This window comes from Homo sapiens, chromosome 15 (assembly GCF_000001405.40).
Source record: "Homo sapiens chromosome 15, GRCh38.p14 Primary Assembly".
Taxonomy (NCBI): Eukaryota; Metazoa; Chordata; class Mammalia; order Primates; family Hominidae; genus Homo; species Homo sapiens.
Window position 1 is genome coordinate 27,302,712 of NC_000015.10, and position 24,328 is coordinate 27,327,039.

General features: G+C 35.5%; 1 protein-coding gene across 2 annotated transcripts in view; it reads left to right on the top strand.

Annotated features, from left to right (window-relative positions):
- Positions 1-24,328, top strand: part of GABRG3 (gamma-aminobutyric acid type A receptor subunit gamma3) — a 570,804-nt gene that overhangs the window by 331,531 nt on the left and 214,945 nt on the right. For both annotated transcript variants that reach the window (NM_033223.5, NM_001270873.2), the window contains exon 4: positions 24,098-24,318. In NM_033223.5, the coding sequence (NP_150092.2) occupies positions 24,098-24,318 (221 nt within the window). The remainder of the gene's footprint in view (positions 1-24,097; positions 24,319-24,328) is intronic.

Below are 24,328 nucleotides of genomic sequence, written 5' to 3' on the forward strand. Positions count from 1 at the left end.
AAAATATATTCTGGGTCATAAAACAAACTCCAAAGTTTAAATCATTTGGAATTATTCAGAGTATCATCTCAGATCATAATGCAATTAAACTAGAAATCAATATCAGAAACACAACAGAAAAATATCGAAACCCATGGAAATTAAACAACATACCTTTAAATATGCCGTGGACCAAAGAGGAAGTCTCAAGGGAAATTAGAAAATATTTTGAAATGAGTAAAAATAAAAAATATGGCATAATGAAGATTGTAGAACTCAGCTAAAAGACTGCTTAGAGAGAAATTTATAGTATTAAGTGCTTATATTAGAAAAGAAGAAAGACCTCAGATCACTAACCTAAGCTTCCACCTTTAGAACTGGAAAGCAAAGAGTAAAACAGACTCAAATCAAGCCAAATTAAGGAAATAATAAAGTAAAAATCAATGAAATTGAAAACCAAGAACAGTAGATGAAATTAGTGAAATCAAATCTAATTCTGTGAAAATATTTGTAAATGCATTCAAGACTGACAAAGTTAAAAAAAAAAAAGACACAAATTACCAATATCAGGAATTGAAAAGAAATGGGACTACAAGGCCTTCCAGGATAATAAGGGAGTACTAGAAACACCTCTATGGGAATAACTTCAACAACTTAGATGTAATGGACCAATTCTTCCAGGAACACAAACTATCAAAGCCTACCCAAGATGAAATAGATCATAAGAATGGTCTTATGACCATTAAAGTGATTGATTTCATAGTTTAAAAAAATGTTTTAAAAACCTACCCCAAAATCTGAAAAATAAACTTCCAGGCCTAAATATGGTTTCACTGGTTAATTGAATAAAATATTTAAAGAAATTAGACTAATTCCATAGAACCTTTTCTAGAAAATGGAAGAAAAGGAAACGTATCCCAACTCATTTTATGAGGCTGGCATCAACCTGACACCAAAATCTGACAAGAAAAAAGAAAACTACACAATATATTTCATGGATGTGTATATATATATATCCATGTGTGTGGATATGTATATCCACTATATATATATCCGTGTGTGTATATATATATATACACACACATCTATGTATATACATATATCTATTTGTGTGTGTGTGTGTGTATATATGTATATACACACAAATACAAACTATATTAACAAAGTGATTCCAGCAATATATAAAAAGCATAATACAAAGCACCAAGTGGAATTTAAACTAGGAATACAAGACTAGTTCAGTACTCTGAAAATAATTAATGTAATTGACCATATTAATAACCTAAAGAAGGAAAGCTGCGCGGTCATAGAAATTTAAACAGAAAAAACATTTGACAAAATACATCATCTATTCATGATAAAAACTCGCAGCAAACTAGAGTAGAACGGAACATCCTCAAAAATTCACATCTAGGAAAATCTTATAGCTAAGAATATACTTAATTGTGCAGCATTGAAAGCTTTTCTCTTAAGCTTAGTGGCAAACTCAACATTCCTGTTAACCTAGTAGAAGATCTGGTCAGTGGAAAAGGCAAGAAGAAAATAAAAAGTGTACAAATTGGAGAGGAAGACATGAAAGTGCCATTTGTGGAAGATATGACACTTTATATAAAAATCACAAGAAATCTACAAAAAGTCTCCCAAAACTAATAAATGAAGTTAGTAAATCACAGGATACAAGATCAGCACTCATTATTAATCAGGTATATTTATTTTTTTAAAAAAATCAATTTATTATCTTATAGTTGTGAAGGTCATAAGTTCAAAATGGGTCTTACTAGACTCAAGTCAGTGTGTCAGTGGAGCAGAATTCGTTCTAGAATGGATGCTTGAAGAGGTTCTGGAGGCTCAAAGAGAGAATTCATTCCTAGGCATTTTCTGCCTCTTAAAGCCACCCACATTCCCCCATCCATGACTGCATGACTCTGACCTCTGCTTTCATTGTAAAATCTCCTTCTCTGCCTCTGATCTTACTGTTTTTCTCTTACATGGGCCTCAGTGATTACATTGGGCCCACCCAGATAATTCAAGGTAATCTTCCCATCTCATGGTCTTCAACTTAATGATATCCAAAGTACTATTTGCCAAGTGATATAATGTATTCAGATTCCAGGGATTAGGACACAGACATCTTTAGGGACTATTATTCTGTCTACCACAAGTTGAAAGAGTTCTTTACATATTCTGATATTATGGATACTGGAACCTGACAAGGTGTATGATTTGCATTTTTTTCTCCCATTCTGTGGGTTATTTCACTTATTGTATATCCTTTGATACACCAAAAGTTAGAATTTTCGTAAAGCCTAATTTATCTATTTCTTCCTTTGGTGGCTTTACTTTAGGTGTCACAACTATGAGAATTTTATAGTACTATCTCTGACTTTTAGGTTTTTAATACATTTTGAGTTAACTTTCCATATGGTGTAAGGCAACAGTCCAGTATCATTCCAATGTCTCTGCATCATTAGTTGAAGAGACGATTTTTCTCCATTGAATTATTTTGGTACTCTAATCAAGTATATTTCTATACAGTAGAACGCAGACTGGAAAACAGAAAAATTTTAAAACATCATTTAAAATAACTCCAGAATTGAAATATTTAGGTATAAATGTAACAAAATGTGTACAGTGTAAGTTTATAGGAAACTAAAACTCTAATAAAAGATATTTGAAAAATAAAGAAATAGAGAGTCATACTGTCTTCAAGGAATAGAAGACCCAACGTGGTAAACATGTCAACATGTAAATTCTCCATAAATTTATATATGGATTGTGTGTGTGTGGTCTGTGTGTTTTTTATATATATATAAACATATATAAACATATATATAATATAAACCTATGTTTATATATAAACATAATATAAACCTACGTGTTTATATATAAACATATATATAATATAAACCTACATGTTTATATATAAACATATATATAATATAAACCTATATGTTTATATATAAACATATATAATATAAACCTATATGTTTATATATAAACATATATAATATAAACCTATATGTTTATATATAAACATATATAATATAAACCTATATGTTTATATATAAACATATATAATATAAACCTATATGTTTATATATAAACATATATAATATAAACCTATATGTTTATATATAAACATATATAATATAAACCTATATGTTTATATATAAACATATATAATATAAACCTATATGTTTATATATAAACATATATAATATAAACCTATATGTTTATATATAAACATATATAATATAAACCTATATGTTTATATATAAACATATATAATATAAACCTATATGTTTATATATAAACATATATAATATAAACCTATATGTTTATATATAAACATATATAATATAAACCTATATGTTTATATATAAACATATAATATAAACCTATATGTTTATATATAAACATATATAATATAAACCTATATGTTTATATATAAACATATATAATATAAACCTATATGTTTATATATAAACATATAATATAAACATATTTATAATATAAACATATGTAATATAAACATATGTTCTATATATAAACATAATATAAACATGTCTATATGTAAACATATATAACATAAACATGTCTATATATAAACATATATATAATATAAACATGTCTATATATAAACATAAAATATAAACATGTCTACATATAAACATATATATAATATAAACATGTCTACATGTAAACATATATATAATATAAACATGTCTACATGTAAACATATAATACGAACATATGTCTACATATAAACATAAACATGTCTATATATAAACATATATATAATATAAACATATGTCTATATATAAACATATATAATATAAACATAAACATATAATATAAACATATATAATATAAACATATATGTTTATATATAAACATATAATATAAACATATGTTTATATATAAACATATATAATATAAACATATATTTATATATAAACATATATATGAACATGTTTATATATAAACATATATATGAACATGTTTATATATAAACATATACAATATAAACATGTTTATATATAAACATATACAATATAAACATGTTTATATATAAACATACAATATAAACATGTTTATATATAAACATACAATATAAACATGTTTATATATAAACATACAATATAAACATGTTTATATATAAACATACAATATAAACATGTTTATATATAAACATACAATATAAACATGTTTATATATAAACATACAATATAAACATGTTTATATATAAACATATATAATATAAACATGTTTATATATAAACATATATAATATAAACATGTTTATATATAAACATGTATAAACATGTTTATATATAAACATGTATAAAATAAACATGTTTATATATAAACATGTATAATATAAACATGTTTATATATAAACATATAATATAAACATGTTTATATATAAACATAATATAAACATGTTTATACATATATAAACATATAAAAACATGTTTATACATAATATATAAACATGTTTATATTATAATACAAACATGTTTATATATAACCATGTTTATATTATATGTTTATATATAACCATGTTCATATTATATGTTTATATATAACCATAGGTTTATATATGTTTATATATAACCATAGGTTTATATATGTTTATATATAACCATAGGTTTATATATGTTTATATATAACCATATAGGTTTATATATTTATATATAACCATATAGGTTTATATATTTATATATAAACATATAGGTTTATATATTTATATATAAACATATAGGTTTATATATTTATATATAAACATAGGTTTATAGGTTTATATATTTATATATAAACATAGGTTTATAGGTTTATATATTTATATATAAACATAGGTTTATAGGTTTATATATTTATATATAAACAGGTTTATAGGTTTATATATTTATATATAAACATAGGTTTATAGGTTTATATATTTATATATAAACATAGGTTTATAGGTTTATATATTTATATATAAACATAGGTTTATGTTTATATATTTATATATAAACCTATAGGTTTATATATAAATATATAATCATAGGTTTATATATAAACATATAAAATAAACATATGTTTATATATAAACATATATATAAAATAAACATAAACATATATAAAATAAACATAAACATATATAAAATAAACATGTTTATATATAAATATATATAAATGTATATGTTTATATATAAAATATATATAAAATAAACATGTTTATATATAAACATATGCTTGTATATAAACATATATGTAAAATAAACATGTTTATATATAAACATATATAAAATAAACATATACGTTTATAATAAACGTATATATAAAATAAACATGTTTATATGTAAATGTATATAATATAAACATATATAAACATATATGTTTATACATCCAAACATATATAAACATATATGTTTATACATCCAAACATATATAAACATATATGTTTATACATCCAAACATATATAAACATATATGTTTATATATCCAAACATATATAAACATGTTTATATATCCAAACATATATAAACATGTTTATATATCCAAACATATATAAACATACGTTTATATATAAACATAATATAAACATACGTTTATATATAAACATCATATAAACATATATAAACATACGTTTATATATAAACATAATATAAACATACGTTTATATATAAACATATAAACATTTGTTTATATATAAACATATAATATAAACATATATAAACATGTAATGTAAACATACCTGTTTATATAAACATATGCAAACATACATGTTTATATATAAACATATAATGTAAACATACATGTTTTATATAAACATAATGTAAACATACATGTTTATATAAACATATATAATGTAAACATACATGTTTATATAAACATAATGTAAACATACATTTATATATAAACATAATGTAAACATACGCTTATATATAAACATATAATGTAAACATACGCTTATGTATAAACATATAATGTAAACATACGCTTATGTATAAACATATAATGTAAACATACGTTTATATGTAAACATAATGTAAACATACGTTTATATGTAAACATATAATGTAAACATACGTTTATATATAAAACACAATGTAAACATACGTTTATATAAAAACACATATAGTGTAAACATACGTTTATATAAAAACACAGAATGTAAACATATATGTTTTTATAAAAACAGAATTTAAACATGTTTATATGAAAACAGAATGTAAACATATGTTTATATGAAAACACATATAATGTAAACATGTTTATATGAAAACACATAATGTAAACATGTTTATATGAAAACACATATAATGTAAAAATATATGTTTATATAGAAACATAATGTAAACATATGTTTATATAGAAACACATATAATGTAAACATGTTTATATAGAAATATAATGTAAACACAGATGTTTATATAGAAACATATAATGTAAACATAGATGTTTATATAGAAACACATATAATGTAAACAGATGTTTATATAGAAACACATATAATGTAAACATAGATGTTTGTATAGAAACATAATGTAAACATATATTTATATATAAACACACATATACACGTACACATACATATGTATATGAATTCTGTGTTTTATATATGTGTGTGTGTGTGTGTGTTTGTATATATATATATTTACCAATTTAAACCTTAGCAGAATTTTTGTAGATATGGGTAAGGTATTTCACAATGTATTTGGAAAGGCAGAGGGACTAGCCTATGCAAATCAGTTTTGAAAAAGAACTAGACATCTACATATAAAAAATGAACTTTGACTTAAATACCTTAAACAAAAAACTTGGTAAAAGGCATGAACAAACACTTCACCAAAGAGGATATAAGGATGACAAATAGGCACATTAAAAGATGTTTAACATTCTTAGCTGTTAGGGAAATGCAAATTAAAACCATGACGTGATAGTGCTAAACACCTATTTTAACTTCAATAAAAATTGCTGACAAGAGCAAGGAAAGTAATAGATGTGGAGTAACTTGAAATTTTGTAAATTGCAGGTTGAAATATAAAATTGTACAATCACTGTGGGAAACAGTTTGACAGTTTCTTATAAATGCTAATCTGTTCTAAAATATAACCCAGTGGTCCATTTCTGGATATTCAGCCTAGAGAGATGAAAAATTTATTTCCACATAAAAACCTGTACATTAATATTTACAGCAGCTTTACTAATAAGTGCTAAAACCTGAATACCACCCAAATGTCCTTAATGTGATGGATGGATAAACAAACGGTGACACATCTGAACAGTGGCATAATATTTATAAAAAATAATGAACTTTTAATATATGTAACAACTTGGACAAATCTCAGAGGCATTATGCTAGGGAATGAAGCCACACACCAAAGGTTGATACTATAGTATTCCATGTATATTCTACTCCCTCCCAACGAAAAGAATCCAGTCACACACAGAAAAGTAGAAGGATGGAGAAGTGATCAGTGGTTGGCAGCAGTTATGGGTAGGGAAGGGGCAATGACAAAAGGCTAGCAGAAGGGAGTTTTGGGCAGGGGGTGATAGAACTATTGTGTGTCCTGATTATGTTGATAGCTACACAAATATATACATGTGTCTAAAATTTATGGAAGGTCATGCATGATACATCAATGGAAAAAGTTAATGTATGATATAAAAATAAAACTTGAAAGACACTATTTTCACTAGCATCAAAAACATTAAATGTCTAAGAAAAATCTAGTAAAAGATGAGTATTATTCTATAGAGTTAACTATAAACCATTAATGAGAGAAATTAAAAGAGACCTAAATAAAGGTCAGCATATCTACATTTATGGCTTAGAAGACTCTGTATTGGAAACAAGACAATTATCCATAAACTGATCTGCAGAGTCAATGCAACTCCTTATCAGAATTTCAATGGTTTTTATTTTTTGTGAAAACTTACAACCTGATCCTAAAATGTATATAATATGTAGATGACCAGAAATGGCTAATGCACTTCTGAATAAAAAGAAGAAGTTTGAAGAACTTGCTTCACTGGTTATCAATGTTTATTAGAAAGCTACAATGAGAAGGATAGTGGTATTGAAACAAGGGTACAATAAAAGTCAGTGAAACTGATTAGAGTCTAGAACAAAGCCAAGCATATATACACATTAGGTTGGTGACAAGCATGGCAGGTGGAGCAGTGAGGAAACATAGTCCTGTGAATGAATAGTGTTGGAGTAATTGGATGCTCTTATGAGAAGAAAAGAAAACTTGTCCTCTACTTCACACAACACCCAATTGTAGTAGATTATAGATTTAAATATAAAAGTCAAGAGAATAAAACTTCTGAACATAAATAAGCAGGGCTGTTTTCCTGATTTCAGAGATAGAATTTAATAGGATTTTAAAAGCACTATTCACATGAGTCTTTCCTGAGCAAGAAGACAGAATAGGAAGCCCTGGACCTTCCTTCCACCCTGTGATCTCACCAATTCAGCAACAAAGCATGGACAAATTTCCTGTGAAGTCCAGAATGCAGAAACTAGCTGAGAGGCTTCTGCACCCTAGGTGAGCACAAAACTACCCACATCAAAGTCAGTAGGGAAATTTAAGACACCCTCTTGCCATAATCCCTGCCCTTGGCACTGTGCCTTGTAATTGCAAGGAAACCCCCAGCTCCCAGATTTTCCTTGGGGAGGGAAAAAGATGGACTATGCATCCAGAACCCCACTTTGCTGGGAGATACCTGGAGGACGGGCTTCTGTCTAGCCTGTCTCAGAGTGCTGATGCACCTGCATCATCTAGCCACCCACAAGTAAGTGAGAACAGAGATGACAATTTGATCTAATATGCAGCTAGTCGCCACAGCTTTCTCTCCAGCTTGATGCAGACCAAATAGCTAAAAACCAAAACAAAACAACAACAATAAAACACACACACACAAAACCCAAATGTCAGTTTCTCCCTGGGGATAGGGAAAAAAAAAACAGTTAGACAGGGAATCCAATGATTCAACTTTTCTGGAGGTGGCCTGAGGAACTGGCTTATGTCTTGCTTGTTCTCAGAGCACTGATGGGACACAGTATATTCTAGATGCCTAGGGACTGCTTAAAACCAAGAAAACAGGTTGGACTAACACAAAGGTCCAAGAGGCTCCGAAAATCTCTGCTTGGGCTGATTATAAGGGTCTTTTGTATGAGACTAGTCTGTGAATATTGGGAGAGGTCGCTGTTTTATCTAATGTGCAGACAACACAGAGAGTCAAGGAAAATGAAGAAACGGTAATATTTCCCATACAATGGAAAAAAATAAATTTCCAAAAATTGACCTTAATGAAATGGAGGTATATGATTTGCCTGAAAAAAATTAGAATAACTATTATAAAGATGCTCACCAGGGTAAGGAGAACAATTAATGGATAAAGTGAGAATTTCAACACACAGAAAATACAAAGTACCAAATAGACATTGTAGAGCTGAAGAATAATAACTCAGCCGAAAAATTCACTTGAGGGGTTTAACAGCAGAGTAGATGAAGCAGAAGATAGAAACAGTGAACATGAAGACAGGTCACTGAAGATTATTCAGTCATAGGAGCAAAAATAAGAAAAGAATAAAGAGTAAAGAAAGCTTCAAGGATTTAAAAGACATTATCAAGCAGATCATGGATTGTGAGAATCCTGGAAGAAGAGAAAGAGAAACACCAGAAAGCATATTCAAAGAAACAGTAGCTAATTTTTTTCTAAATCTGAAGATGGAAATGGTCTAGATCCAGGAAACCCAAATGACAATAAAATGAGTCCCCAAAATGCATACTGAGATACATTATAATCAAATTGCCAAAAGTCAGAAAAAGAGAATTTCGAAAAGCAGCAAGAGAAAAGCAAGTTGTCACACACAAGGACACCCCCATAAAACTGTGAGTGGAGTTTCCAGCAGAAACCTTACAGGCCAAAAGGGATTCAGATGATATATTCAGAGTACTAAAATAACTGGAAACCAAGAATACTGTGCCTGGCAAAACTGCCCTTTAAAAATGAGGGAGAGGTGAAGATGTTCAAAAGCTGAGAAAGTTCATCACTACTAGGCCTGCCTTACGGGAAATGTTAATACCTTCAAGATGAAACCAAAAGACACTAAACAGCAACATTATAACATAAGAAAATAAAAAAATCTCATTAGTATAAGTAAATATATAGACAAATATAGACTAATTGTAATAATGGTAGGTAAATCACTTTTAATTCTAGTCTAAAAGTTAAAAAAAAGTATAAAATATAACTAAAAATGTGTTTATGGGTGCACAATATAAATGGATGTAATGGTCTCACTTTATATTTAAAGACATACATAGGCTGAGAATGAAGGGTGGAAAAAAAAAACTCCATGCAAATGGCAACCAAAAGAGAGCAGGGGTGGCTACCTTTATATCAGGCAAAATAGACTAATTCAAAAATGGCTGCAAGACACAAAGATGGCCATAATGTAATGATAAAAGAGTCAATTCAGCAGAAACATATATATATATATGTGTATATATATATATGTATATGTATATATATACGTATATGTATATATGTGTGTGTGTGTGTGTGTGTGTATATATATATATATATATATATATATATATATATATATATATATATACCCAACATCAGCACACCAAAATACATGAAGCAAACATTGATGGAACTGAAGGAAGACACCGATAGAAATACATAGTAGTAGGAGACTTCAGCACCCCACTTTCAATACTGGATAGACCAACCAGACAGAAAATCAACAAAGGAATAATAGACTTAAACACTATAAATCAAATGGACCTAACACAAACGTACAGAACATTCCACCCAACGGCAGCAGAATCTACATTCTTCTCAAGTGCACTTAAAACGTTCCCCAGGATAGATCACATGTTAAATTACAAAGCAAGTCTCAACAAATTAAGAAGAATGAAATCACACCAAATATATTTTCCAAACACAATGAAATGAAGTGACATCAGTAGCAGAAGGAAAATGTAAAATCATAAATATATTAAAATGAATAATTTTGAACAAGCAATAGGTCAAAGAAGAAATCAAAAAGTAAGTTAGAAAATACCTTGAGACCAATGAAACGAAAGCATAACATACCAATACTTATAGGATATGAGGAAAGCAGTACTGTGAGGGAAGTTTTCAGTAATAAACACCTACATTAAAAAGGAATAAATACCTGAAGTAAACAACCTAACTTTACATCTCAAGGCGCTAGAAGAATAACAAACTAGGCCCAAAACTAGTAGAAGGAAGGAAATAAAGATTAGAGGATAAATAAACAAAGAATAGAAAAACAATAGAAAAAATCCACAAAGCTAAGAGTGTTTTCAAAAGATAAACAAAATTGACAAACCTTTAGCTAGACTAAGAAAAGAAAGAAAAAAGAAGCTCGATAATGAAAATCAGAAATAAATAAACGGGATTACATCAAACCAATAAGCTTTTGCACAACAAAGGAAATGATCAACAGAGTGAAAAGGCAACTATAGTGAAGTCCTACAATTTGACACATACAATATTAATAAACTGGTTGAAAAATGGACTAAAGACTTGACTATACATGTCTCCCAAGAAGACATACACACTGCCAACAGGTATATGAAAAGATGTTCAATGTCACTAATCATCAGGGACATGCAAATCAAGACCGCAAGGAGTTATCACTTCACATCTGTTAAAATGGCTATCATCAAAAATTCAGAAGTCAGCAAGGGTTGGCAAGGATGTGGAGAAATTGGAGCCCTTGTACACCCTTGGGGGAATGCAGAATAATACAGCCACTATGGAAAACAGTATGGAGATTCCTCAAAAATTAAAAATAGAACTACCATATAATCCAGCAATTCCAGCTTTGGGTATTTATCCAGAAGCATTGAAATGAGGGTCTTTCAAAGATATCTTAGCACTCCAGTGGTTGTTGCACCAGTAGGAATAACCAAGATATGAAAACAACGTAATGTCCATTGGCAGTTGGCTAAAGAGAATGTGGTATATACATTCAGTGGAATTATTTAACCTTTAAAAAAGAAGAAAATTCTGCACTATGTGACAACACAGTGAACCTTAAGAACATCTTCTAAATGAAATAACACAGTCACAGAAAAATAGTTAAAGCATGATTCCACTTATATGAGTTATTTAAAATAATTAAACTCATGTAATCAGAGAGTACAATGGTTGTTGCCAGGGGCTGCAGGGAGGGAGAAATGGAAAATTTCTAATCAATGAGCATAAAGCCTCAATTATAAAAGATGAATAAGTTCTCTAGATCTATTGTACAACACTGTCATTGTATTTTACAACACTTAAAAAGTGTATCATACGCTTAAAATTTGTTAAGACAGTAGACCTCATGTTAAGTGTACTTACCGCAGTAAAATAAAATTTTTCAAAACCACTACCTATAAGGTGAATGAGTAAGAAATTGGACTTTATTAAAATCAATAATGTCTTTTATTTTAAAAAGAATTAAAAGGAAGAAAAGCAAACTATAAGGTGAAGTTATGTGCAACATCTCTAAGTGATAACAGATTAGCATGTCATTGAGACCTTTTAGTGAACTACTTCAAAATTGTGCTGAGTGCTTACTTTACAGTGTCTAGATAAATCATAGGTTAAATAATGTAATGCCTTTAGCAATCAGAGAAGCCAGAACTCTCTTGAGTAGGACAAAATATACACATTAAATACAGAACTACAAATCTGGAAGACTCATTGCAGTTTTTGAAATGTATGCTCTTTCATGTATATGTAACCATTGCAGTAGAAGGTCCTGGCACAAAATATAGTGATGTGTTTGGAGATACTTTAGGAAAACGTATTATATAGACATATTCCCATTATCATGAATGTTAGTCTTGGGTAATTGGACCTTGGCAAATTGGACCCTGAATACTAAGAATTTTCTTCAAAGGCATTCTTCCTCTTATGGTGACAGACACAAGCAACATTATTTTTATTCACATTATGAATACCATATGAAATCTTGCACTTTAAAATAATTTTGGTAACACCATTTTTATAAGATACATTCATTATACAACTGTTCACACTTTGCAAATAATTAAAATGTTCTTAGATTTATGTGATGATTTCCTATGAAGCCTATATGTAGCTTATACAAGTATATATTCATTTACTTCTGTTTTTGATGTTCATTTCTCCTTATGTAGCTCAAGCTACTTTATATCTTTGAAAATATCCATCTCTTGGTCTTTGTAGATGCAGCATTCCACATTATAATCATAACCTGGGATGAGTTCTTTTTGTAAGCGTTTGTCTGATGCAACTTGACAACTTTGAACGCTATTTTCCTTCTATTGTACTTGTAAATTTCATTTCCTTATTCTGCTTTATAATTAAATGCTATTTTCAGCAAACATAAAAAATGCAAAAATGGGCCGGGCGCGGTGGCTCACGCCTGTAATCCCAGCACTTTGGGAGGCCGAGGTGGGCGGATCACGAGGTCAGGAAATCGAGACCATCCCGGCTAAAAAAACGGTGAAACCCCGTCTCTACTAAAAATACAAAAAAATTAGCCGGGCCTAGTGGCGGGCGCCTGTAGTCCCAGCTACTTGGGAGGCTGAGGCAGGAGAATGGCGTGAACCCGGGAGGCAGAGCTTGCAGTGAGCCGAGATCCCGCCACTGCACTCCAGCCTGGGCGACAGAGCGAGACTCCGTCTCAAAAAAAAAAAAAAAAAAAAAAGCAAAAATGGTTAAACTGTCTTCAAGTTGAAAAGAAAATGTGTCTTTCTTGACACCATCTTTGGATAGAAAATTGGGAAGTCACGAAGACTACCTCACAAGGTCATTGGTCAGATTAAAGAAATAATACCTATCAAATAATATAGTAACTGCACGGTAAATGTCAACTGCTCATGATTTAAAGTGTTTAAGATTGTAGTCCAAGAGGATACTCTACGCTTTTAACTTATGAACATTTTTTATGTGGGGGAAATTCCCCTGAATGATGAGGAATTTCGTTCGTTTTAGGTGGATGGAGTTTCCAGCATGACATTCAATTTCTGTCAAGGCTATGGCTGTGAAACTGAGAGTGTGGTTTCATTAAATGGTGCTTTTAATCTCCCTTAGTTTATGTGAGAAAGTGGTGGATTTTGGTGTGGTTTTTTTTTCATTCCAGTTTCATTTCAGTTTCCAAATTAAATGCTCTTCTTAAATATTTGCAGAGAATCTGAAAATTTTAGTGAGAGGAAGATTAACAGTCTCAGCAGTGTCTTGTGAGGTCACGAAGTACTGTCTATTGTTTATACAGAAAAACCTTCTCACTTTTGCTAAGCCTAATCCCTGAATTCATGGTTTGCACTGCTTTGATTGATTGATTTGTCTTTCTAGGTCAGAGGTGTTGAACTCCGGTGCCCTTTGGACCCCCTCACCATCTTCATAATAATTTTCCTGGCCTCTCCTTGTGTATTTCCACCCTGTTCCCTTCAGTCCATGCCAGCTCACATTCCTTCTGTGTTTCTGTGCTCTTAGCCTGGCATGGCAACTCTGACTCCTCTACCCTCTCCATGGTGGCCTCCCCAGGGTGCCATCTCCCACAGGACTTGCAGCGAGCTGACACTACCCCCCAATTCCATGGCAGGGACTGCTGGGAAGAAACGTCAACAGCGTCTCCTCTGAGGAGCAGCTCAAGCTAATCCTGTTTGTTTTTACCAATGTAGTCGTGGCCTTCTAGTATGCAAGCCTAGGAACCCACTGCTGCCATTTCCTTTGATGGCCACTGTTTCTCTTTATCTCAGTTTCTTCTTCATCAGCCAGACTCAGCCAGACTTCCTTCAGAGGGGCTTTGTGTTTGAGAGGCCTCACTAGGAGGCCCATCCTCATCTTTGGAAAACTGGCTGGTGTCACAAGGCAAGGCTAAGCATGTTCAGTCTAAATATTTTTTTTAAAAGAACATTTCAGTCTGAGGGTAAAACGTGATTTGACAATGTGATTTAACTTGGGATGGTCACCGACTGTGACCAACTTCACGCTGGTGAAGCATTTAGAATGACTTAAATCATTTTCTCATGGAAAAATCAAACCTTTTGGAGCTAAAAAATAAAAAAGTGATTGAGAGGTTTTTTCAAGACATCCCAAATAGGGCATCATTTTCCTGATTTAGACCCTGTGAGCAAGAAAGGCATGGAAAGACTTCTGCACATCCTTAGCTCATGCAGTTTAAATCTGCCACATCCTCAATACAGCAAACACTCACTGCATTCAAAACACGGAACACTCTGAAGTGTGGAATCCCGAGTTTTTGCCATTGTTGATAGGATAAAGAACCCATGCCCATTCTTCAAGGCTACAAAAACCCTAAATTACATACAATAAAAACCGTGCTCCTGTAACGCAGCTGCTACAGCTTCCCTTATAGAGTATTAGAGTAAACCAGCCCCATTCTAATGCTCTCATGATTCCGTTTTGGGTGGCAGTGCACACTTATGAGCACTTTGGAAGGGTACTCAAAGCAGGAGCTTCTGGGAGACTGTGTGTTTAAATATTAAAATATAACCCAGTGTGGAATTGGAATCATTTTCTTCAGGCACAGGAAAGCCACGTCATTTTTTTTCTCCTTCCACTATTACCTTTATAAGGCCTTGTGTAAAACTATGTCCCAGAGAGGAGATTTACTTCTTTAACCTCATCAGTAATACTCATCATTAATACTAAGGGTCCCCTCAGATGGGACTTGCACCCTGCCAGGGAGATGGGGGAAAGACTGTGAGTCCCACCTCCTTCCAGTAGAGCTACCTTGGGATACCGTGTGTTGATGCTCTGAATCAGTAAGGGGAGGCCTGAGTCCAGCAGCTAAAGCATCTGCTTCTGACAGAGTCAGAAATTCCAGCCCATCCCTAGGGCCGATTGTGCCCAGGGAACATTGCAGATCCTCAAGTCAGGTTTCGAACCAGTGCATTTACTGTTGTTTTGTTTTGTTTTGTTTTGTTTTTCCTGGAGGGAATTCAGATGTTTGCAATATGTCCCCTTCACACTGTTTCTAGCTGTGGATCCCAGGCGAGTAGTTCCAGGAATGGGGGCTAGTACTAAGGGCAGAGCTCCGCCTTCTGCCTCCCTCCTCCTCTCTGGGGGTCTAAGGGTCCAAGGCAAGCCTCTCATTATTGCTGAGTGCAGTCATTGGAAACCATTTGGACCAGAGCACAGAAGCGTGGTTACCAGGACCTGGGAACAGAGGAAATAAGGAGATGTTGGTCAGTGGTCCAGACTTGCAGTTAAGTTCCGCAGGCCTAATGTACAGCAGGGAGCCTATAGATAATACTGTATTGTGTACTTGAAATCTGCTAACAATATTGTATACTTGTAACTGGCTAAGAGGGTAGATCATAAATGTTCTCACCACCATAAAAAAATAAAAGGCAACTGTGAGGTGATGGATGTGTTAATTAGCTTGATTGTGGTAACGATTTCACAATGTACACGTATGTCAAATCATCACATCATGCATCTTGAACATAGAGAATTTTTATTTGTCAATTCTAGCTCAGTAAAGCCAGGGGGAAAAAAATGTCTGAAACCAACAAGGGCTCCAGTGAGCCTCGGTCACTGCTCTCTTGATGATGTGGATGGGTGGCTCTTCTTAGTTCCTATCTGTAGAATGGGGATATTCATATTGTTGTGAACATTGGGTACAGTGGGGCTATGTCAATTATTTGGAAAGTGGACTGACTCCTAGTAATTTGTAGTAAGTGCAAGTTATTACCAACACAGGTCACTGCTGACCAGCACTGTGGTGGGGCAGTCTCTATGCGGAATTTGCGGATAATTGTGATACGGCAGTTGAAGACATAGAGTGTTAACATAAGGAGAAAAAATAGTGAGTAATACCATGAGGAGGGGCAGGCTGTTGGCAAATATGCCAATGCCACGGGAAGATGGCAGACAGGAGGATGGAGAGGACTGGACGAGGCTGGATAAGAGGGTGTCCAGGCGTGGGCAGAGCACAAATGGGATGGGGAGGAAGGGAGGTCTGTGCCGGGATGTTGTACCAATGCGTGCACCATGGTGGCTATAGTAACGGGTTGGTTTGTAAGCAAGCACGATACACGGAGCCTTGAGTATCATGCAAAGAATATTAACCCCAATTCTGTAGGCTCTGGGTAGCCATGATACATTTTTTTAATAGCAGCATATATGGTTGAATATAGTTGGAGAATATAGCATTCAATGGGATGCGAATCTGAAAGCAGTCAGTGGGTTGGGGAGGGCAGAGGGAGGATTTCTACACAAGAAAGGAAACTGAGAAAAGGCAGGATGTCTATAGCAATGTGCAAGGGGCACCTGCTTCCACCAGGGGGTCCTGGCCCAGATCTGCTAGCATCACCCGGTTCCCAGGGCCTCCTAGCCAGAGGCAAACTTACCATAGAGCCTGTAAAGGTAAAGCCCAAGGACCCCTCACTAGCAGAAGCCTTCTCCCAGGCCTTGGGGAAGGTCGTAGCTGTGTGTTCACTTGGTCTTTTACTGCTTGTGATATTTACAAGTGCAAGATGTTTTATACAAGGCTGCTGTCTTTTTCTCCTCTGACATCCCCTGTCACCTGCTCCTTTTATTAAGGGCAGGTGATTATCACCCGGCTAAGGGGATGCTTTCCAAACAAGGTTAGTGGAATATGGGGCATGGCGACTTCTGTCTAGGATGAAGTGCACCCCGATGTTATTGTCTGTCAAGGGTCTAGGGCTCCAGAGGTGTGGGTGGCATGAAGGAGAAACCTGGAGCCCACAGCTTGTGTGTGGGAGCCCCAAACTTTACACGAGAGAAACCTGAGGCTTTTTCCACACTGCAGAATCCTAAACATGCAGGTCCTATTTCCAATAATGCTACAAGTTTAAGTAAACTTCTAAAAACTATTTATAATGTAATTCTGCTTCCCCGTGCTGGAGGAAATAAATATATTCTGAGTCTTGCTCCTAAAAAATAATGTTATTAAATCATTGTCATGGAAGGTCGTGATCAAAGAGTTTGCAGCCAAAAGATGCAGGGCAGGTGAGAATGATGAAGGAGGGCCAGTGGTCAGATTAATAAAAATAAGATCTATTCCTTTTAGATGTGATTTTTGTGATATTTGCAGTTTTAAAATATGACATTTTTCTCATTAGAAACAAATATTGATTTTTCATAATTCATATTAATAATTTATATTAATGTTATAATTTTGCATTATTTTCCTAAAAAGGGCCTGGGTTGCATTAACATCAGGTGACTGACATGGCCTCCTCAGGGGAGCCACGTGCCCCTCTGTGGCAACAGGGCGTCACCCCCTGCTATGCTTCCCCGGGCCTGTCACTAACCCTTCACAACCTGCCCTCCTCGGAGCAGCCTTGGTCCTCTGGGCTCTGATGTGGCTCTCTGACTGCTGCACCCCTCACCTTTCCAACTTCAGCCTGGTGGTCTGGGGACCAGATGTGGCCTCCAGCAGAGAGCTCCCATCTTGCCAACAGGGCCTCCTTGTCTGCAGGTGTCTGCCCTCCCCTGGTGCGGGGCCTTCACAGGGCTTACCAGACCCCACGGTGCACCTGTCCTCAGGGGTGTTAGTCTTTATGTAAATCTAGCACAGTGCCCCGCAAAGGACTCTTAATAAGGGAGGTGCCTGGGCTAAGCTGGGAAGAATGCTCAACCAGGCGGCCAGACCTTGGGAAAACCCTTGTGCCTGTGAAGCAGGGACAGGCGCCCAGGGAGAGAGGGAAGCCCACCGTCAAAGCCATGTTTCCCAGGACAACTGAATAAATAACACCTGCAAGAAACAAAAAAACATATATTTGAGTTATGCTTCCATACCTGAGAAGGAAAAAATAAAAATGGTTTTACTCTAATCACTGCATTATACATTGTTAGATAAGAAACCTGAACAACCTTTAATTGGCAAAGGCCTATTACTACCATTTTGTAAAGAAAACAGCCAGTGGCTTCTTTTCCTGATTTGTTTATCTAACTCAAGCTAACGAGCTGAGGCCCAATAGGGGGAAAGAGGCTTTGTCCCCCAGCAAGTGTCTCCTGCAACCAGAATCTCAAGGTTCCCATCCTGCTCTAATCTCCTTTTTTTCATTTGGTCCTCTTCTTTAATAAAGGAAGGGAGAAAAGTGTGAGGAAATAGTTTCCAAATTTTCTAGAAGTTACAGATGGATATTGTGAATAAGCATAACTTTTCTTCTGTTTTCTTAAAATGATCCGCGTGTCGCGGTAATTCGTGGCTTATTTGGAAATTATTGAGCTCTGCAGTGACTGAAACAAATCATGAACTTGGGCTGTTCACCAGCCTGATGGTTTACATTGGAGGGTCCGCATGAGTTTCATCTGTTAGTATTTCAGACACATTAATTTCATAGCATTAAGGAATTATATAGAATCTTTATTTTCAGATAGACATTGTAAGAATTTTTTTTCTTTGCAAAAAGGAAGGATGATTAATGCCATTACAAAGTAAGTTTATGAGAGAAATAAAAATATTTCTATGTGGGTGGGAAGTGTTTCTTCAACATTTAGTCAAATGTAGACACAATAAAACATCCACACCATGCATAGCCTCACTCTGTCTTAAAGTGGCATTCATGGCAAGATTTCAGAACGAAGAAGAGCTTGCACCCGGAACACTGTAGGACGCTCCCCTCTGCTACAGGGAAAGAGTACGATCTTGTGTGGGACAGGGGTGGGGATTCCCGCCTTGCTCTGCAAGCCTCCACCTCATGGATGGTTCTCGAATACTTCATGCAAAATTCAGACCTATGAAAGTCCTTCCAATAATGGAAGATGGGACATAGGAAGAAACCATCCCATCATGTTCTTCTTGCAAAAGTAAGATAGAGAAATGAGAAAAAAGTGGAAAATTAGTTTCAAGAGGGAAAGGCTAACTCTAGGCAGGGATATGGAAATGTAAACTTTTAGAGTCAGAAGGGTCGTTACATTTAATCCAATCCGACACTTGCATTGTACGTATGAGGAGACTGAGGCTAAGGAAGGTAAATGATGTCGCACAGTTTATGAACAGTGTAAATGTGGAGGACACTTCTGCCCTGGGGTTCTTCTACACGCCCCGAGTCTAACACCCAGACTCTGCTGCTGATGCCCCTCTCAGTCGCATCCAGGGAAATGGATTTGAGCTGCAGAGTTTAGAATAATTGGTACTTAGTAGCTGTGTGACTGGATGAAGGTTACTCAATGTCTTAGGCCTCAGTTTACCCTTGGAAGGAAGGGTGGTCACTGTCTCTGTGTCAGGAATCCAGTCGCCTGGCACAGAATGCACCTGTGCCTCCTGGGAGGGATGCTAGAACACGCCTTCCATCCAGCTCTGTGTTCTCCCGATCTCATACTGCATCTTAAAGTGCTTTATGGGGAAGGGGCACAAACTGCTCCTAATGGGGATGGAGACAGAAGATAAGGAGAAAAAGGGCGAACAAGAGGGCCCTGATTGCCAGTCACTCTTTGCCTTACCCTGTGTATAGACTAAAAAGGCTCATTCAGAAATTGTTAGTGGAGGGTCCTGTAATTCAAAATATTTTTGACATATTGAGTAATGTTGGTAAAATTCTTCAAGTTTTCTGAGCTTCAATTTCTCTGTTATACTTAGGTTAAACAAACAAAAAGCTTTGAACAATTTCAGATTCCAAAATTCAGATGGGGCTTTTGTAGAGAATATTGGTTACTTTGACATTATTGATCGCATTGGCGGGCCCTGGATGTGCTTGGGAGGACATTTTCATCCTTCTCGTCTCGTTCCTCAATCCAGTAAACCAGTGTTCAAAGAAAGAAGGGAGTAAAACTTAAAAATGCCCATATGTGCCTCCCTGACCATTCTCACATACTGAATTTTAGTTAAAGTATTGAGTGTGTTCTCTGTGCAAATATAGCCTATTACACATTTTAGTCAGAAATCATCGTTAAGCTCAAATCCTGCCAGGATGGAGGGAAGGCAGCTGTCAGCTCACAGTCTGTTCTGCAGGGATGCCTTTGAACTTGCTGCTGCACCATCTATATGCCTGTCTCACTCTACACCTCACTGAGGTCTTGGCTTCTGTATGGCTTTCCCATGTCTCCAGCACCTGCACACCCCAGAACCCTTTCCCTCCTTCCCCACTCTATCAGTCTGGACGGGCTCCTCTGACAAACTGCTCTGGATGCTTCTCACCCAGGGCACGTGGTTCACGTGAGTCAGCAGAGCTCTGCTCCACACAGTCTCTCAGGGCCTGAATGGGTGAGCAGGTCCCACATGGGCTCTTCCAGGGCCCTCCGAGGAGTGGCACATACCACTCTGCTTGTGTTTCACTTCATCGTGAGTGATGTGGCCACACCCAGCCCCAAACGGGGAACAACAGTTCTATCACATGCCTGCAAGCAGGGAAGCCGCGGTATTTGGCAAACAGCACCAATGACTATCATGATCTGTATCTAGCCACTGAATATTAGCTTCTGTCTTTCTCATCAGAGAAAAATACACTTCTCCCATCTTCAAAGGAGGCAACTCAAAAGGTCAACCTTGTTCCGGCCCAAGGTCAAGGTTATGTATATATGCGTATACCTGTCCTGGTAGAGACATCAAGTCTGGATGTGGTTTTCTTTGATCCACTGACCTGTAAACTAAGAAGACCTATCTGATCTCCCTCCTGCCCCACACGTGCAGTGTATGTACTAAGGTGGAAAAGGGCCAGCCTAAGTCCCCACTGGGCAGATCCTGATGGGCTGGGTTCCATGAGGTGAGGTTTTTCTTAGATTCAGCTCTAATTCTTTCCCTAGGGTGGGGCCCCTGAGGTATGTTTTCACTCTTACTCTTGCCTCCATTGTCTGGGAATATATTCTTTTTCCATTAACCATTTTTGCCATGGTAAAGTGGGCATTGGATAATACACCTCCTTTGGGGTCCAAGCAGAGGCTGCCATTTGCCCATGAAAGACAGGCAGGCAACGGTACCATTCAATCTCAAGTAGTCATTTTTCTTCCTGACTTGTGGTTCCTTTGGCAGAACTTCCTTAAAACCGAGCCAACTTTCTACCTGAGGCCAGCTTCACATGTGCACAGCCACATTCAGAGTTCTTTCTCTGTGCAATGCCAAGAGCTGCTGTGCATCTTTGCTTCTGCAGGCCAGCACCTCTCCCTCTCCAGGGCTTTACTCTGAGCCTTTCTCTCTGAAGTATAGGTATTTGGGCCCTACAGCTTTCAGTGGAAGGGCCACACCTTAGTTTCTTTCCCTTGAGCCATATTTGCATAATTAAAGAGGTTACTGGGTGGCAGCCTAATCCATTTAGAGGCTTTAGCAATGGGTGTGATTATTTCTGCCAGGTTGTTTCAATGGACTTTGGCACTGCAAAGTCCCCTTAGAGATTTCACCCATGCATGACACCAGGCGTCTGGCTTCCAGTCCCACATTCCTGAGCTCTAAGCATCAATGCTACCTGCTTTCGTTTCATTTCACCACTCTTTGAACCCCATTTTTGTATCAGTCAGCACATGCTAGGTTATATGACAGAAACACACACATGCACACACTCACACACACACTTACACACACACCTTCACTGTGTGGCTCTGGGTTCAGAGTCTGTCAGTGAGAGGCATGCCAAGTTTCGGAAGGCAGAAACAAGGCTGAGGCCATTCATCCCCAAGGGCACATTCAGACAGACACATGGACTTGGGAGGGTCCATCTGGTTGCTGAGATGCTACATGTGACCTGCCATGGCTGCTGAGCCATGAGAGGCTTCTGGAAAAGCTCGCTGAGAACCTGCTCCCAGCTGTTGCTTTCCTGCCATTTGCTCCCCCAACTGCACAAATGCTTATGCAAGACTCACATTGCCTGTTCCATAATTCCTCCTCTGCTGGATGCCTGGATACCTTTTGTTTCCTCTAATTTGAATCCTTAATAATACACCAGCCTTATTTTTGTGTGCAGTGTAAATGACCACCAACCTATTTATTTAAGGCCCATCTTCCCTGGATAGAATATAAGCTCTAGGAGGGAGGGGGTTTCTTGTTGGCACAGTGCTGGGTCTTCCTTGCTTTGAAAAGCCTGGCATACTCAGTGAAGCAAAGAAATGATGAATGAATGCATTAGTTAATGAAAGACCAGTTGAATTATAAACCTGAAATTGAATTACCTATCACAGAAAGATTCTTTAATGGGAAACTCAGTGGAAAGGGTAAATATGAGATTTGTTGAGAATCAAAAAATTCAGACTCTGCAAAAGTAATATGTTTATAATATCTAATACATAACAAAAATTATGCAAGATATAAAAATCCCTTACAATCAGCCTCTACATCCTTCTTACCATGAACCTAAAATAATTCTTTAAACTGTGATGAGGGGAGTGGCCTCTGAGGCAGCCCAGTCTGCAGGCACTTCTTTGGGTCTCCTAGAGTGCCCCTAGGATAGAATCAGTCCTATCCTAACCATTTGATGGCTGCACAAAGTCTTACTGGGCACCGTGAACACTGCAGTGGCTTCAACCCTGGGCCTTTGCCTCTGTAATTTGTACCTCTTCAGCCTGCTCTTGGAATTGGCATTTGGCTGGGTGGCCGTCCTCTCTACAGTTCTTTGTTGTATTTTATTTCTTACTTTTCTTTTTGTTTTGCTTTTTGTTGCTTGAGAAGACTCAAGTACAAATAGTCATAACTATTATATGAATGAATATGAATGGATCACTTACTCTCTGCCAGGCACTAAGGGTGCTCATTTAATCACTTCCTTTTATCTTCGTTAACACCTTGAGAAGGTGGACACTATTATGTTCCCCATTTTATAGATCAGAGAACAGAGGCTCCAATAGGTCCTGCTACCTGTCAAGGCTTGGACTTGGGAGCCTAGGGTTTGCCTCCACACCCTGAAATAGATTCTACTGTCTCTCTTAGCCCCTCTTCACACTTTGTATATTTATTGGAACTTAAGATTTATAGTATGTCACATAATGTTACTACACTGTTGACAAATAATATTGGTCATCATTCACTGAGTGCTTGCCATGTTGAACCAGTCTCTATCAGAAAGAGAATTGGGGAGGTGAGGATGTCAACATGGAGAGAACACAACGTTTGACAAAGAGAACAAATTATACAGAACATTTATTAATAGAACTGTCTTGCCTCTCCTTCTGCTCTGTTTCAGGAATACCAAATTGACATATTTTTTGCTCAGACCTGGACAGATAGTCGCCTTCGATTCAACAGCACAATGAAAATTCTTACTCTGAACAGCAACATGGTGGGGTTAATCTGGATCCCAGACACCATCTTCCGCAATTCTAAAACCGCAGAGGCTCACTGGATCACCACACCCAATCAGCTCCTCCGGATTTGGAATGACGGGAAAATCCTTTACACTTTGAGGTAAGATGCT